General features: G+C 41.3%; 1 protein-coding gene, 1 long non-coding RNA gene and 1 pseudogene across 9 annotated transcripts in view; 2 read left to right on the forward strand and 1 right to left on the reverse strand.

The window, feature by feature from the left end:
* Positions 1–5,685, reverse strand: part of LOC105373204 (uncharacterized) — a 175,604-nt gene extending 169,919 nt beyond the window's left edge. For 6 of the 8 annotated variants that reach the window (XR_007068239.1, XR_007068236.1, XR_007068238.1 and 3 more), the window contains exons 1-2: positions 5,195–5,685; positions 4,086–4,181 (exon numbers count right to left, since the gene is read on the reverse strand). This is a non-coding gene — a long non-coding RNA (uncharacterized LOC105373204). Of the gene's footprint in view, positions 1–1,862; positions 3,289–4,085; positions 4,182–5,194 lie in introns of those variants that run through there. The other 2 variants (XR_007068234.1, XR_007068237.1) reach the window with 2 other exon arrangements.
* On the forward strand, positions 5,194–5,769 carry LOC100419238 (centromere protein V pseudogene; annotated as a pseudogene).
* EZHIP (EZH inhibitory protein) lies at positions 16,047–17,942 on the forward strand. The gene has a single exon (NM_203407.3). The coding sequence runs from the start codon at positions 16,116–16,118 to the stop codon at positions 17,625–17,627; it is 1,512 nt and encodes a 503-aa protein (NP_981952.1). The 5' UTR covers positions 16,047–16,115; the 3' UTR covers positions 17,628–17,942.
* Positions 17,943–18,473: the final 531 nt, after the last annotated feature.

An 18,473-nucleotide genomic window follows, 5' to 3' on the forward strand; every position in this document is an offset into this window, starting at 1 on the left:
TATAACTCCATCCATCTACAGTGAACTCATTTTCAACAAAGGTGTCATAGTATACATTGAAGAAAGGACAGTCTCTTCAATAAGTGATGCCAGGAAAACTGACTATCCATATGGAGAAGAATAAAACTAGACCCCTATCTTTCACCATATACAATAATCAAATCAACGTGAATCACAGACTTAAAACTGAGACCTTGGACTATGAAACTACTGAAAGAAAACATTGGGGAAACTGCCCAGGACATTGGACTGGCAAAGATTTCTGGAATAATACCCCACGAGCACAGGCAACCAAAGCAAAAATGGACACATGGGATCACATCAAGTTCAAAAGCTTCTGCAAAGCAAAGGAAACAATCAACAAAGTGAAGAGACAACCCACAGAATGGGAGAAAATATTTGCAAACCATCCATCTGCCAAGAGCTTAATAACCAGAATATATAAGGAGCTCAAACCCTTCAATGGCAAAAAGTCTAATAATCCAATGAAAAATGGGCAAAAGATCTGAATAGACATTTCTCAAAAGAACACATACAAATGGCAAACAGGCATAGGAAAAGTTGCCCAACATCACTGATTATCAGATATATGCAAATCAAAACTACAATGAGATATCATCTCATCTCAGTTAAAATGGCTTTTTTTCCCCAAAAGATAGCCAATAACAAATGCTGGCGAGGATCTGGAGAAAAAAGAACCACCATACACTGTTAGTGGGAATGTAAATTAGTACAACCACTATAATGAACAGTGTGGAAGTTCCTCAATAAACTAAAAATAGAACTATCATATGATCCAGCAATCCCACTGCTAGATATATACCCCAAAGAAAGGAAATTAGTATATCAAGGAGATATCTGTACTCCCATATTTATTGCTACACTATTCACAGTAACCAAGATCTGGAAGCAACCTAAGTGTCCATGAACAGATGAATGGATAAAGAAAATGTGGTACATATACACAATGGAGTACTATTCAGCCATAAAAAAGAATGAGATCCTGTCATTTGCACCATGGATAGAACTGGAGGTCATTATGTGAAGTAAAATAAGCCAGGCACAGAAAGACAAACTTTGCATGTTCTTGCTTATTTATGGGAGCTAAAAACTTAAACAATTGTGAAATAGAGAGTAGAATGATGGTTACCAGAGGCTGAGATGGGTAGTGGGTGGGAATGAGTGAGTGCTGATGGTAAATAGGGACAAAATCATAGACAGAATGAATAATATCTAGATTTGATAGTACAGGATGACTATAGTCAACTATTATACATTTTTAAATAACTAAAAGAGTATAATAGGATTGGAACACAAATAAAGGGTAAATGCCTAAGGTGAGGGATACCCTATTTTCCCTGATTTGAATACAATGCATTGTATTCCTGTATCAAAATACCTCATGTACCCCATAAATATATATACCTAATATGTACCCACAAAAATTAAAAAAAGAAAAAAAGAAAAACCATCAGCTTGTACACTTATGATTTGCATAAATTTATGTATCTTTACTTGAAAAAATTAAGACTGGCTTCCAGATCAGAGCACAACCAAGACTTACTATATCTACTAAAAGAATGCATAAGTCAAAAGATGGTTGGTTGGTCAGGGATGGAAACAAATACTGACAATTCCCTTCTGAACACTGGACTTATCTTTAGTCTCATGCTCTTAATGAGAAAACTATAGATATAGATATGTTAAATGTAAGTTAGCTCTCCCCCACCCCATCGTCTGGTTCCTATGCCACTATAGCCAATTATTCTTCACTCTACACCAATCTAGATCTAGAAATCAGACTTAGCTTCAGGTTCATTCTATCTTACATATGTACACACACATACTCCTTTCATACTCACCAGATGTGAGGCCTAGAATTTCTCCAGGCATCGTAGGATCTTCAGAATAAGGATGAAGCCAGCAATGAGGATTTCAGTAAATCACCAATCTCTTTCTTGAATCTTCTTTCTCTGACACACTGATATAAACCCTTCCATTATGTAGTCCCTACCTGTACCCTCTCCTGTCTGCTGGCTCACTCCTTCTGGATGCCTTCCTCACCCTACCCCCTAGGAACCAAAAATATAATTCTCTTATATTCTGTTCTATCAAGCCTCTGGAAGTTCTGAGATGCCAAGAATAGGAATTGGGAAGGAAGGTTACAACAGAGGTGACATGATATATGTCTTTGAGTCCTTAGCATGGCATTCAAGGTTCCTCATAATCTTACTCTTGCTAATCTCATTAAAATCATCTCCCTACACCATTTCCATTCACATTTAACACGTGTGTTTGCAGCTCCACTTCACCCATACACCATTCTATTTCTAACCTCTGAGCCATTGCTCACACAATTCTTTTTTGTCTGAATTACCCCCGTATCTCTTAAACCATCTGCTTATCCATTTACACATAACTGAAGTGCCATCTCTTCCAAAAAGTCTTCCTTTACCATAACATTTACAACACTCTAATAAAATTACCTATGTGTTTGTCTCTCCCACCAGATTGTGAGAGCTTTCAGGGCAGAACTATTTCTCTGATTTTCCTCTCTAAGCCTCACTGTACTGTAGGTGTTTAACAAACACCTTCTCACTGTACAGTGTCAATGAAATAGAATAGAAGGGGCAATCATTTTGAGGGAAAGGAACAAGGGGAGTAGATTATGTGTGATTTAGAATCACACATACCTGGATTTGAATCTCTGCTGCCAATTTCATAGCAGAGGGGCCTGGCCAAGCTCCTATGTCCTCCTCCATGTAGTGAATTGACTCATAGTGCACGTATGAGTCAGTAAATGGGAGAGAGAAACACAAGACTTCAGGGTCAGGTTGCCTGGGTTCATATCAGCTTCATTACTAACTTCTAGTGTGACCATAAGAAATTTTCTGACCCTCTCTATGCCTCAGTTCTCTCATTTGAAAAATAAGCTTTGTAATAATTCATTTCTCTTAGAGCTTCTGGAAGGATTAAATTGTGATGAAACCTGATAGAATAGCACTATGCAAATGTTAAATCGTTATTAAAGTTAGCAATTATTATCACATAAAATGGGGATCATAATACTACTTATTTCAAAGGTACTATAAGCATATACAGTGGATGAGTAAATGATAGTTGTTACCATTAATTTATATATGTCAAATAAAGAACATTTATATATTTTTACAAAGAAACTAGAGTGTAGCTGAGGTAGGAAAAATAAATTCTGAGAACTAAAATATCATTCTAAAACTCTACTTAAAACAAAAATCTTAGGCCAGGCATGGTGGCTCACACCTGTAATCCCTCCTTTGGGAGGCCAAGGCCGGCAGATTACCTGAGGTCAGGAGTTTGAGACCAGCCTGGCCAACATGGCGAAACCCCGTCTCTACTAAAAATACAAAAATTAGCCCGGCATGCTGGTGGATTCCTGTAATCCCAGCAAGTTGGGAGGCTGAGGTACAAGGATCGATTGCTTGAATCCGGAAGGTGGAGGTTGCAATGAGCCAAGATCGTGCCACTGCACTCCAGCCTGGGCAACAAAGTGAGACTCCGCCTCAAAAAAAAAAATCTTGCCCAATCCTAGTCAATTTTCAGCATCACTACAGAGAAGAAAAAACAAAAGAGGATTTAATATTATGTACTAACACATGCAGTGAAAATGACATAGGCTTCGGAGTCAGATACGACACACCTGCATTCTAATCCTGGTCCTATCACTTAAGTCATTGTTTCCAATAAAGCATCAGTATTTAGGGTTTTTCCTTGGAAGATGTCTTCCAATACGTTTCTTCACTGTATTCAGCAATTTTTTTAAAACAATCCCGAGGCAAGCAATGCCTGGAAGATGCGGTTGAGAATAAAAATGAATGACATTGTCACTAAGGGTGAGCTCAAGGTAATGAAAACTGCATGAGACACTGGGGCCAGACAGACCTGGAGTTGAAAACGGTTTCCACCTCTGCCTTGCTATGAGACCTTGGGTAAGTTACATAAACTCTCTGGCTCTCAGACGACTCTTCTGTAAATTGAGATAATAATAGTATCTGCTTCACAATCACGTCCTCTGAGAGGAGCCTATGCTGATCCTGCCCACCTACCTATGGCTGTGGTTAAGGAGTCTTAGTCTGTGTTCCCAGAGCCCACTGTTGTTGTTATTTTACAGATGAAAGGCATAGATGTCATTCTGGGTTACCCTGAAAGAACCAAGAATGTGAACCCAAAGATTAGTGGAATTGTCAAAAACAGATGAGCCTCACACTTACAAGGAGACAGCTCTCTCAAGTTTCCTGTTTCTTCTTTAACCATTCATCCCCAGTCCATCTCAGTCTGCAGCTTTTCTCTTTGTGTCTCTCTATGCATTCTCATCATACTCCTAAACGACTTACAATTCTTCACTTGAAGCCCTTTCATGTAATTTTTCTGTGTGTCTGGCTACCACACAAGACTGTGAGATGCTTGAGGAAAAGGATCGAGTTATGTTGGCTTTTACCCACCCAGCAACCAGAACACTTCCTGAATCTTGGCACAAAAACTAAAAATACATCCAACGAAAACTGAAAACTTATTGAAAAAAAAGTTTAGAAATAATATGTATATATATACATATATATAATATATCCAGTTCCTCTCTGCTGTATTAAATATTTCAAATAAATAAACTCCCCATTGCATCTGGGATATATTATTCCCTTTTTTAAAATATGAGATTACTGGGAACCAGAGAACTTCGGAGTCATTTCCATGGTTACAGGGCAGGTATGTAACAGCATGAGCACGGAAACCCTGGTATGTAATGCCAACGCACACAAGGACGGCAGCATAGGCAATCTCCATACCTATGTGTGGACAATGTAAAAATACCTCTTGGGAGAAGGGGCTGCAAATACAGTTTACCAACATGTTACACCAGTAAAGCTGTCATTTTGAGATAAAGGGAAGGGTCTCCCGGACCCATTTTCAACAAGTGGCCAATCTTGGTAGTGCAGACTAAGAAGCAGCCCAGTAAGTTCTTAGAACCGGAAACTCCCCTCCCCCCAAACACCCAACCGCGCAGCCCACGCTGCGGGGCCACGACTTGGCCGGATTTATGTTCATGGCTGAGGATGCCATGGGCCGAGTAAGAAGGAGAACCGCCACCCAACCACGCAGCCAAGAGCAACCCAGGGATCCCTCCTCTGCTTGCTCCCCTCCCCCACCCCTGCTGTACCTTCTGCGCAGCCATCTCGGTAACGGGCGTCAGGGGCGCTCGGCGGCCTGCTGTCCAAGCTGGGGTCAGGAGCCTGGCGGTAGCAAAGAGCATCACCGAAAGGAAGCTGGTAGGCTAGCGAGGCCAGCCCCAAAGACCCACAGATACACGCGCTGCTCCGAACTCGCGGGCCCGCGGCGTCCACTAATGAGATGAACCTGGGCGCGCAGCGGCTGGACCTCAGCTGCTAGGGCGCCGCCAAGGCCCTGCTGGACACCTTCTGGTACCTGGGCCTCGTGTATTACACCTGTGGCTGCCGCCGAGGCGCGGTTCAATTTGAAGTCTGAGCCCCTACAGGCCCGTGAATCCTGGATTACAACTGCAGTTTGTGCAAGAAGCAGCAGCACCTGCACTTCCACTTAGCAACCTCCGGCTTCACGCTCCTCCAGGGCGCAGAGAGCATCAAAGCATTATCACCGACCCAACACACACCGGCGCTGCGTAGTTTCTGCAGCAGGTGTGGGGTGAAGAGTTGCCACACAGCTGTCTGACACCGGGTGTACGGCGTCACCCCTCACTTCCTGGACAAGGCAACATTTTCCTAAAGGTAAAGACCATGAACATGTAGAGGCCCCCTTACTCTCATGCTAGTCCGCATTCAGCCGGAAGCAATTCAGCAAATTTGCCATTTAAGTGACGCCCTGGATCTGTCTTTCAGAGTAGTGGCTTACCCTGCAGCCTCATTTCTCTGATAAGTATTTTTTTAAAGCCATTGATTCAGTTTGTTCATCTTTTTCTTGTTGGAAGAAGGGGGTGGGGTGACAATTTCCAGCTTCTTTACATGAAAGAGCTGAAACCAGAAGTCTCGCTTGTGACCATTTTTGCAATATACTACAATCACTATAAGCCTATGATTTAGAAATATCATGGTAAATGCCTGAGAAGCAGAAAAAATAGTTGAAAGAAGTTTTCTCAGGGAGCCAGAGCAGGAGTGGGGGCGAGTATGGATTTAGATTCAAATGATTTCTGGTTTCATTAAAGGCTAGTGTTATTCTTTAAGAACTTTTAAGATCATGTATGTATATTATTTTGAGAAAATTAAAGAATAAGTGATGCATTTTATGTAGAAATAATCTATATAAATTCTACATAGAAAAATACGTAGAAATACCAAGTTTAATTTCAAGATTAAATAAATGCTCAAAAATACATACAATTCCTAAAACAGTTATTACCACTTACTTGTTAATGTTAGTTGTGACTGTTTATAAATTAACGTGCACATTTTACTCTTGATCCAAATGCTACTGTTTGAACATTAATTGGCTTAAGTAATAATTTTTAAATTGTACTTCACAAAATTTAGAGGAAACAATGCAAGGGAAGGGACTATATTCCCATTTCCCTGATGAAGACACTAAAGCTTAAAAGATTAGGTAACTTGCTGAAAGTCATGCACTAAGTAAGTGGTTGACTGGCACAGTCTCACAAATCCATCTGCTGTTATGTATACCTCTCTCCCTCTACACATTTTTGAATAGCCATGCCTTTATCAGAAAAAATGGTGTTACTCTTCCACTAGGATTGGGAACCAAAATTACTGATAAAAGTACAAGGAGAGTTGAATACGATCTTTCAGTTCTTTTCAAGAATCACAAATCCCTAAGCCAATAAAAAAGTTTAGAAGCTAGAAGCAAAGACAGAGATCTTCCAAATTTGTTTAATGAAGGAAGTCTAAACTCTGATTCCAAAACCTGGCAAAGATAGTTCACTACACACAAAGAAAGATGTGGATCTCTCTCACTTATTAACTTATATTTAATTTTTTATTAATAAAATTTGGGTCCATAAAATTAAACTGTATATAAAAATCTATCATATCCTGGTAGTTTCCTAGTCATGAGAGCATGATGTAATATTAGGAAATATTTTAATTAACCCTCCACAGTATATAAAAATCCATCATATCCTGGTAGTTTTCTAGTCATGAGAGCATGGTGTAATATTAAGAAATATTTTAATTAACCCATTATATCAATAGGTCAAAGGAGAAAAATCCTATCATCTGAGGTGCTGAACAAAGAATTCAATAAATTCAATCAATCTGATGCACTCTGCAGTCGTTCTAAGTTCTTGTCTACTAAAATCCTCGACTACTACACATCCACAATCGCTTCTGTGAAACTCTTGGGACCAAATGGTTCAGAATTTGTCTCCCATACATACATAATATCTATGTCAAGGCCTGTAGTAATACTGTGGAATCTAATACAATGATATTTCTGTAGTGAAACATACAAATGTTCACTCCAAGATCTAAAGATTACAAATAGCATCATGTCAGTTCAAATCAGGTTTTATGGATAAATGAGTCAGGAAAAGTATGTTTTTCAAAGCATTTTGAATGTTAGACTTGTGCACAAGGGATTGTGAGTCTGAATCATATTTCCGTCAACTCTTCTTGCCTTTCATACAATTTTTTTCTTTCTGTTATCTTTTTTATCATTGAAATACAACATTTAGATAGAAGATTGTGCAAATCATAAGGGACAACAAGTTGATGACTTTTTACAAAGTGAACACATGCATGTAACAACCAGTAAGACCAAAATATAGAACATTACTGGCACCCCAGAAACTTATGTTATACCCCTACCTAGTCATTACCCCTGAAATTTAAGCACTATTCTAACCTATGTTACTATAGAATTGTTTTGCCGGCTTTTTATACTTTATACAAATGGAATTATAAATTATGTATATTTTTATGCCTGGTTTCTTTTGCTCAATATGAATGCTTTTAAGATCTGTACACTTTGTTGCATGTAGGGATATTTGCTTGTTTCGTTCCTGAACAGTATTCCATTGTATTAATATACCACAATTTATTCATTCAACTGTTGATATATATTTAGGTTGTTTCTAGTTTGTGACTATTTCCAATAATGCCACTGTGAACATCCTTATGTCTTTTGAAAAACAGGTTTATGTATCTCTGTTGGATATATACTTGTGTGGTAAGCAGAATTCTAAGGTGATCTCCAATGACTCTTGTCTTGGTATAATCTCTTCCCATTGGGTGTAGGTGGAACCTGTAAATATGATGAGATCTTACTTTTATGATTATATTACTTCATATGGCAAAAAGGATCTTGCAGATATAATTAAGGTCACAAATCAGTTGCCCTTAAAGTAGGTGAGGCAGACCTAATCAGGTGAGCACTTACAAGGGCCCAGGTTTTTGCTGAGAGATTCGAAGCATGAGAGAGCATTTGGAGGGGGCCACGTGACAAGGAACTGCAGGAGTCCTCTAGGTGATGAGTTGCTGCCCCTTGTTGACAGCCAGCAAAAGAATGGAGGGACCTCAGTACTACAGCTACAGGGCACTGGACTCAGCTGGCAACATAGATGAGTCTGCAAGGGCTTCTTCCCCAGAGATCCAGAAAGGAACACAGGAAGTCCAAGAGCATCTCACCCTGTGAGACCTTGAGCAGGGAAACCAGTCACATGGTGCACAGACCTCTGACCTACACAACTGTGAGCTAATAAATGAGTGTTGGTGTAAGCTGCTAAGACTGTAGCAATGTGTTTAACACCAACAGAAACCACTATAGATTTTGATACCTGGATGTGAGGTGTAGTCACTGTAAACACCTTAAAATGTAGATGTGGCTTTGGAACTGGATAGTAAGCAAAGGCTGGAAGAATTTTGAGATGCATGACAGGGAAAGCCTAAATTCCCTTGGACAGACTGGTAGTAGACGTCAGCTGGATATCCAAACTGCTTTGGAACTCCTCTTTTCTGCCTTCTGTTTTCTCCTGTATAAAATAGAATGTTTATAGATGTTATCCTATGCCCGTCCCATCATTGTATGTGGTGGTGTTGGGGGAAGATAGCTTGTCACTTTAGTGCTGATGGTCCACAGTTGGAGAGGGATTTTGCCCTAGGAGTTTTACTGGATAGGATCATACCCAGGAATCTCATCCGTTCATGATTCAGATGATGAAATTCAGATGAGCTTTTGGAATTGAGCTGATGCCATAATACAAAGAAATTTGGAGACTGTGGGATGGATTGAATGTATTTTATACGTGGGAAATACTGGATCACTGAGGGCCAGAGGGCAGGCTGAGGCAGGCAGAATTCTAAGATGACCTCTAATGACCTCTGGTCTTATATGAACTTCTCTTGAGTATAAGAGCAGCCTGTGAATATGATGAGATACCACTCCTATGATAATGTTACACAATATGGGGAAAGAGATTTTGCAGATGAATTATGCTCCCAGATCAGTGAACCTCGAAATAAGGAGGTTGACCTGTGTGGGCCAGACCTAAGTAAGTGAGCCCTTAAGATGGCCTGAGCCCTTCCTGGGAGACTGGAAGTGTGCGAAGGAATATGTAGAGCTCTATGTGGCAAAGAACTGCATGAGGCCTCTAGGAGCTAAAAATTGAACTGAATTCTGCCAATTACCTGAATGAGTTTGGAAATATATTCCTCCTCAGTCTCCAGAAAGAAACACAGACTCACTGACCAATAGAACAGGCTGACTTCACCCTGTGAGACTTGAACAGAGTACTTGTAAACCTATAGAACTGGGAGCTTAAATAAATGGCCATTGTTTAAAGCCATTAAATTTGTGGTGATTTGTTACTCAGGGATAGAAAAGTAACATAGATGGAATTTCTGGGTTATAGAAAATGCATAAATTCAGCTTTAATAGGTACTCCCAAATAGTTTTCCAAGGGTACTAATTTACACTCCTACCGGCAGTTAGAGTTTCAGTTCCTCTATAGCCTCCCCTGCTCTTTATATTGGTAGTCATTCTAGCTATTCTGGTAGATGTTTGCTGATGTCTTCTTGTGATTTTAATTTGCATATCTCTGATGACTTATTTTGGGAAGTCTTTGTTATTTGTCAGTTTAATATCCTATTTTGTGAAGTACCTGTTGAAATATTGTGCCAGTGTTTAACTGCATTTACTTTTATTCTTTATTTTATTCTGTACATAAAACATTTTCTGAATGTGTGCGTGCATGCGTGTTTATTTGTAGTTAATGTTTTCCTTTATCGTTAGTGGTTTTTGTGTTGTGTTTTAGATATAATTTACCCCAAGGTCATCAAGATATGATTGTATCTTATTTTCTAGAAGCTTTATCTTTTTGAATTCATTTTGTGTATGGCATAAGTTAGGAGCCAAAGTTATTTTTTTCTATATGGCTGGATATCCAATTTGTCCAGTTCCACTTACTTAAATGATTATCTTTCTCCCTGAGTACTGCATTGGTATCTTTGTTGTAAATAAGGTGATCATATGTGTGTGTCTGTTTGTGGACTCTCTTCTTGTCCTATTGGTCTATTTATCTATCTTTATCTAAACATATATATCTTTATTTATCTATTCCTGCGTAACAAAATGTTACTGTACACAAATCATACTATCTTAATTATGGCTTTTCTGACTGTGAAAGTTCTTCAAATTCTTCTAGATGGCTTTGGCTGTTCTTAGATCTTTGATATCCATTCATATTTTAGAATCAGTTTGCTGGTTTACATTTTCAAATTATCTGTTGAGATTTTGATTTGTATTGCATTGAATACATAGACTGTTTGGATGAGAATTTTCTCTGATTTAATTTTCATAATATTCTAATCTACAAACATGACATATCTCTGATTAACGTAGGGCTTCTTTATTTAAGAAATGTCATGTTGATTTCTGGACAAAGGTCTTATGAATTTTTTTATTAGATTTGTTCCTAGCTATTTGATATTTTCTGATGCTATAGGAAATGGCAATTTTAAAATTTCCTCTTTATACTTTTTACTGCTAATATGTGGAAATACAATTCCATTGTGTAATATTGACCTTATGTCCACTGATTACACCAAATTCATTTATTCTAATATTTGATATATATTCTTTAATTTTTAAGTGTAAAAAACATGTTGTGTCTTTTATTTTTTCAAGAGCTGAGAAACCTTTCCCCCCAAAACCTTAAAACACAAGCATCCATATCTTATTGACTGCAACTGGGAAATGACTATTCCCAAACCAGTCACTGGAGTGGTAGTGAGATTACTATGACCTGGTTAGTCAATCACACTACTATATATATATCCGCTACACTGTGTTATAAATCAAATTTTCTTTATTTTAACCACATACGTAAATATTTAGACATTAATTTTATTAGAAGTTTGAACATCTCTGTTGGATTGATAATTGTGGAATATTCCTCCATCTAAATGAGCTGAAATTACAGATCTTAAATTTTATAAATTCTTAGCAATCAGGCCAGGCCTGGTGGCTCATGCCTGTAATCCCAGCACTTTGGGAGGCCAAGGCAGACAGATCACTTGAGCTCAGGCATTCAAGATCAGCCTGGCCAACATGGTGAAACCCCATCTTTACCAAAAATACACAAATTTAGCTGGGCATGGTCGCACACGCCTGTAATCCCAACTACTCGGGTGGCTGAGGCAGGAGAGTCACTTGAGAGGGGGAGGCTACAGTAAGCTGAGATCACACCACTGTACTCCAGCCTAGGCTACGGAGTGAGACTTGGTCTCATTTTAAAAAAAAAATCACACCTGTAATCTCAGCACTGGCAGAGGCAGGTGATCACTTGAGGTCAGGAGTTCCAGATAAGCCTGGCCAACATAGTGAAACCATGTCTCTACTAAAATTACAAAAATTAGCTGGGTATGGTGGTACACACCTGTAATCCCAGCTACTTGGGAGGCTGAGGCAGGAGAATCACTTGAACCCAGGAGGCGGAGGTTGCAGTGAGCCGAGATCACATCACTGCACTCCAGCCTGGGCCATAGAACGAGACTGTCTCAAAAAACAAACAAACAATAAATTATTAAGCAATGAGTAGTATGCTTAATATGTGAAAAATATTTGTGGCTTATTCAGGAATAATGAATTTTTTAAATGGCTTAGTTTATTTCAAAAATATACTGTTGATTATAAAATACAAAAATATCAGAATATTTAATATGTACATATATCAGACTTTTAAACATAGTTATCAGTCACTGGTAAAATTGCTTGTGATTTAAATTATCTTAAACTTTTCTAAATTATCTAAATTCCATACTGCAAGGTTTGCCAAACTTCACACAACTGGCATTTTGGACCAGATAATTCTGTGTTGTTGGAGGCTCTCCTGTGCATTGAAGGGGTTGAGCAGCATCCTTGATGGCTATATACTAAATGCTGGTAGAACTCCTCCTCCCCAATTATGGCACTCTTCAGACATTTTAAAATTTCCCCTGCAGGGCAAAATTCCCCTAGCTGAGAACAACTGTACTATGGTGAACAAAATTTTAATAACTAGGTAGATGTAAAAATAAACAGATGTAAATATAGATCAGTAGATACAGTACATCATGGTTTTTTTTTTAATCTCGTAGCCATTTTCCTATGGCATTAAAAATTTTTCAAAAACATCCTGTAACATCCTATATAAGTTTATTCTCTAGGCATCTAGCATTCTACTGGAAATTGGGTTGTTTCAGATTTTTAAAAATAATTGACACTATAATAATCACCTTTGAGCATATAACACTGTAAAGATATGAGTATATTTTTTAGAATTAATGCCTGGAGAGGAATTATGCATTTCATATAAGACTTTTTATAGGTATCATCATATCATCAAATTTTCATCTTGGAAGGTGCTATGAATTTATAATTCTATCCAGTAGTATATATGAGAGCTTGTTTTGTTATAATAGCTTAAAACCTGTTTAAACATAATTCTTTTCAGAAATACAGTAGCTATATTTGCTTAGTACAAGAGTGATATATGCTCATTGAAACCATTCAGAAGATGAAGTATGAAAAGAACGAAAAACCACACTTTCAGATTTTTTTAATGAGTACATAGATACATATATACTTTTAAATGGAACAGAGGCAAAGAGAAAGGTGAGGATATTGAAGACAACAATGGAGTTAAAAAGAGGGGCTTCTTTAAAGTTTGAGATCTTGGAGGATAGCAAAACAATAAGTAGAAGACATATATATTCCTTTAAAGAGAGCAAGGGTAGATAGCATTTTAATTATTACTAAGTCAGGGACCACGACTAAGGCCCACGGAGATTCAAGAAAGGAGGAAAACTCTCAGGGAATAGATTGAAATGACTCCCAAGTGGAAAAGTGGATCCATAAAACTGGTGAAAGTTGGCCTACAGAACAAAGAGAATAGCTATAAGTGGGGTTCATACCCCAAAATTTCAACTATACAGGGAACAGTGGTTAACATGGTCATAACAGAATCACTGATTCCCACCATCTTCCTGATCTTTTCAACTGAGCAAGTTTTCCCTGTTTCGGTAAGTGGCACCATCATCCATAAAAATATAGGATTCATCATTTACTGCTGTCCTTCCCTCATGATCTCACAGCCGTTCAAGTTTCCAGCAGAAGTCCCAGACATCGAGGAACACAGACAATCCATCCCCACTATGTACCGTCTGAATTCTAGCTCTACAAAATCCATGGGAATGTTAAAATGGATGTTGTTTCATGACACTAAATTGTGGAATAATGATGAGCAGACATATTCTGTTCATTTTTCTTCTTCACTTATGTCTATCCTGTATTTTATCAATATTTTGTTTTCCATATTCCATTCTTATTGAATTCCTATTCTATCCTTCATAAACTGTATTCTATATTTCATTCTAAATTTCATTCTATTCCGGTATTTAAAAATCTATACTGTTTATTTCATAGTCCATTTATTTCAGGCCATTGCACATTTTGTTCCGTTCTATATTCCTTCCAATTTTGATTTCCTTTTATTTTCTTTAATATTTTATTTCATACTGTATTGCACTCATTCCTTTTCTCATATATTTTTATTTTATTCCATATGACATTAGATATTTCTTTCCATTTTCTGTTCCATTCCATTTTCCAATTAAATTCCATTAAATTTCCAATATTCCATTCCACATCCTGTTCAAACCCGTATTCTACTCCCCATTTTATTCCAGTTTCCATTGCAGTCTCCATTTCATCCCATCCTGCATACCATTTCAAATCCATTTTCCATACTATATTATTTAACACTCCAAATACCATTCCATTCTATTTTTGTGTTGCATTTCAGCCCAATTGTTCACCAATTCCATTAAATATCCGATTTTATTGTGCTCAAAATGTTATAACAGTGACATTCAGGAGACTAGTTTGCCAATATTTTTAATCAAAGAATTACAAATGTGGCTGGGCGCAGTGGCTCACGCCTGTAATCCCAGCACTTTGGGAGGCCGAGGCGGGCAGATCGCCTGAGGTCAGGAGTTTGAGACCAGCCTGGCCGACATGGTGAAACCCTGCCTCTACTAAAAATACAAAAAATTAGCCGGCCATGGGTGGCACGCGCCTGTAGTCCCAGCTATTCGGGAGGCTGAGGCAGGAGAATTGCTTGAACCCGGGAGGCAGAAGTTGCAGTGGGCCGAGATCATGCCACTGCACTCGAGCCTGGGTGACAGAGCCAGACCCCACCTCAAAAATAAATAAATAAATTAATTAAGTAATTAAAATAATTACAAATGTTCATAGACTTGTACCAAGAATTTTCTCTTCTGGGAATTTATCCACAATGACACATTTAAGGATATGAACAATTTTTAATGAGAAGGATGTGTCTCACAATGATGTAAAATGTTGGAAACAGCATAAACGGTGGCCAATATGGGAATGTTTGAAAATGTAAACTTCTTTTATAAATGGAGTATTTTGTAATTTAAAGTGGCCTCGTAGAAATTTGTTTACTGACATAGAAAATGTGCTTTCTGGAACCCAAAGCAGGTTACAATGCAGTATCTATGGAGAAACTATTCCATTTCATAAAATAAAAAATTTAAAAAACTATGAAATATGTATGAATAGGGCCTTTCTACCAAAGTCTAAGTAAAAATTTCCAGCACTTTCCCATGGGTGCCTGAGGACTTAGGTGTAGTTTTCTTACATTTGCTTTTCTGTTTTGAGTACTGAACATGACACCTTTTGTAATAAATAATGACTAAAAATGAGTGGCCAAATATTAAACTTCAAGTCTATACATTACAGCATATTTATATTAATTAGGAGCTAGAGACCACACTAAATAAATTAATATATGTTCATCAGCGGATTACTACGCAGCCCATAAAATATTTAAGGACGGTGTCACCCTTAACCTTAGGCAATCCCTAACTGTGCCTTGGGGGAAAAGGCACAGTTCTAAATCCCCCTCTGGTGTGTGGGACCTGAGGTGTGTGGGACCTGGGGGAAGCAGCAGTGCTGAACATCCGGAGGCAAGACGGTGTGGGCCCCTTCCCTTTTCTCGCCTTCAGGCCTCTGTATAACCCTAAAACCCACCAGACCCCACATGGGGTCATCTAGATGCCTGGAGGAGTTCCAGGGTGGTCCCTTCGGGCGTCATGCCTGGTTTCATTGTCCTGACCGGGTGCGAGGAGGGACACCTGGCCAGGAGATATAACCTGCCGGCCAGTGTGGCATTTCTTTCAAATGACCACTTAAGCCTCAGCCACGATTTGGGGTGACTCAAATCGTTCATGTGGAACACACACACACACACACATATACACACACACGTGTCTTAGGGACGGACACACACAAACACGTGTCTTAGGGGCCCCGTGTGAGGAGAGGAGATTCACACTACTGACCCAGCAACCAGGGTCGACCCCAGAGGGCTGGAGCACACACTCCGGGTTGACGATAGGCGCCTGGCTCTGGGTTGCACGGCTCCGGATTGGACGGCTCCCGGGAAGAGAGAGGAGTCATCTGACGTCCAGCTCGCCAATCAGAGTCGAGGACTGGCTGGGCTCCACCCACCTTCTTGCTCTACCAGTTCGCGCTCTCCTCCGGCAGAAGTAGCAGCTGCGCTCTTGCTCTCTGGGGGAGAACCTGGCGTTATGGCCACTCAGTCAGACATGGAGAAGGAGCAGAAGCACCAGCAGGACGAGGGGCAGGGAGGGCTGAACAACGAAACCGCCCTTGCCTCCGGGGATGCCTGCGGGACCGGGAATCAAGATCCTGCTGCTTCCGTCACCACAGTCTCCAGCCAAGCATCTCCCTCGGGCGGCGCCGCCCTAAGCAGCAGCACAGCCGGTTCTTCCGCTGCAGCCGCCACCTCCGCCGCCATTTTCATCACCGATGAGGCCTCGGGGCTGCCAATCATAGCTGCTGTGCTGACGGAGAGGCATTCTGACCGCCAGGACTGCCGCAGTCCTCACGAAGTTTTTGGGTGTGTGGTGCCCGAGGGGGGCAGCCAGGCCGCTGTGGGGCCCCAGAAGGCCACTGGCCACGCCGACGAGCACCTGGCCCAGACCAAGAGCCCCGGGAACAGCCGTCGTAGGAAGCAGCCCTGCCGCAACCAGGCTGCCCCGGCTCAGAAGCCTCCAGGGCGGCGTCTGTTTCCTGAGCCTTTGCCGCCATCTTCTCCAGGGTTCCGGCCCAGCAGCTATCCCTGTTCCGGGGCTTCTACGTCGAGTCAGGCAACCCAGCCAGGCCCTGCACTCCTAAGCCACGCATCTGAGGCAAGGCCTGCTACCCGAAGCCGCATCACCCTGGTAGCTTCTGCTCTCCGCAGACGTGCATCTGGTCCAGGCCCTGTCATCCGAGGCTGCACCGCCCAGCCAGGCCCTGCTTTTCCACACCGCGCCACTCATCTAGACCCTGCTCGTCTAAGCCCTGAATCTGCGCCAGGCCCTGCCCGCCGAGGCCGTGCATCTGTGCCAGGCCCTGCCCGCCGAGGCTGCGATTCTGCGCCAGGCCCTGCCCGCCGAGGCCGCGATTCTGCGCCAGTCTCTGCCCCCCGAGGCCGCGATTCTGCGCCAGGCTCTGCCCGCCGAGGCCGCGATTCTGCGCCAGGCCCTGCCCTTCGCGTCCGCACAGCAAGGTCAGACGCCGGTCATCGCAGCACCAGCACGACGCCAGGCACTGGCCTCCGGAGCCGTTCCACCCAGCAAAGATCAGCCCTTCTCAGCCGCCGCTCTCTGTCTGGGTCAGCTGATGAGAATCCTTCCTGTGGGACTGGCTCAGAAAGGCTTGCCTTTCAGAGCAGATCAGGCTCTCCTGATCCTGAGGTCCCAAGCCGTGCTTCCCCGCCTGTTTGGCATGCAGTCCGTATGCGTGCCTCCTCACCCTCACCCCCTGGGAGGTTCTTCCTTCCCATCCCTCAGCAGTGGGATGAGAGCTCCTCCTCCTCCTATGCTTCCAACTCCTCCTCCCCGAGTAGGTCTCCTGGCCTAAGCCCCTCATCCCCTTCCCCTGAGTTTTTGGGCCTGAGATCTATCTCCACTCCTAGCCCTGAAAGCCTTAGGTATGCTTTGATGCCTGAGTTTTATGCTCTGAGCCCTGTCCCTCCAGAAGAGCAGGCAGAAATAGAGAGCACAGCTCACCCCGCAACACCGCCTGAGCCGTGACCCTCTATAAGCATCCTCTAAGACCCACAGAAGGAATCAACATTTACCCACTTTGTGAATGGGCTGCCTGCCCTGTAGTTAGCTGCGAGGTCTCCCAAAGTTCCAGCCGTTAACCAACATCCTGAGTAGTTTAGAAGCCTCTCCTCCCCATGACTCCACCACCTAGCACTTAACCTGCTGTTGGCCTTTGATTCTGGGCCACCTTCTTCCTCAAGAGTTTGCCTTTGCCCTTGAGCTGAGATTTCTGTTTTCCAAGTTGCTTTTCTGTTATGAAATGTTTTAATTAGTAAAATAAATTGTTTTGTTTAAACAAAATGTAGAGGTGTGTTTTTTTATTGCGGTTCGAAAAATCGTTAATCCTATATCATATTTGGAGGGTTAAAGAAAGTTGTTAACATACTAGCTGACTCTTTGGACGAGAGAAGAAATAAAATACTGTCCTAGCAATAATTTATTCCCACTGGCTGAAATGGAGTTCTGTGCAGGAAGTTCCCACTTAGGTCTATATACCCTCTTAGCAGAGGTGATTTGCAACTTGGGCAAGAAAAGGGGCCAGGGTCTAACCCAGGTGGCTGGAGAAAAGGAGGGGTGATGGAGACATCCAGGGTCAGGAAAGGAGCAGGGAATGATGAAGTTTGGGATGAGAGGTAGGGAGACGATAACCCAGATGGGAGTAGGGAAGCTGGGAGGAAGATCCAGAGTCAGGAAATGGGGAACAGCAGGAGTCAGAAGCTTGAGAGGGGAATATCTTAGATTCTAAAGGATAAAAAAATGTTTATGTGTGGGGAACGGGCTCCTGAGGTCTTTGGGGGTGGGGAGAATGTGGGAGGGTGATTTGGGGCTAAT

This window comes from Homo sapiens, chromosome X (assembly GCF_000001405.40).
Source record: "Homo sapiens chromosome X, GRCh38.p14 Primary Assembly".
In the NCBI taxonomy this organism is placed as follows: Eukaryota; Metazoa; Chordata; class Mammalia; order Primates; family Hominidae; genus Homo; species Homo sapiens.

Bases quoted from the DNA above. Each gene is read 5' to 3' on its own strand.
- EZHIP (NM_203407.3), top strand. From the start codon at position 16,116: ATGGCCACTCAGTCAGACATGGAGAAGGAGCAGAAGCACCAGCAGGAC.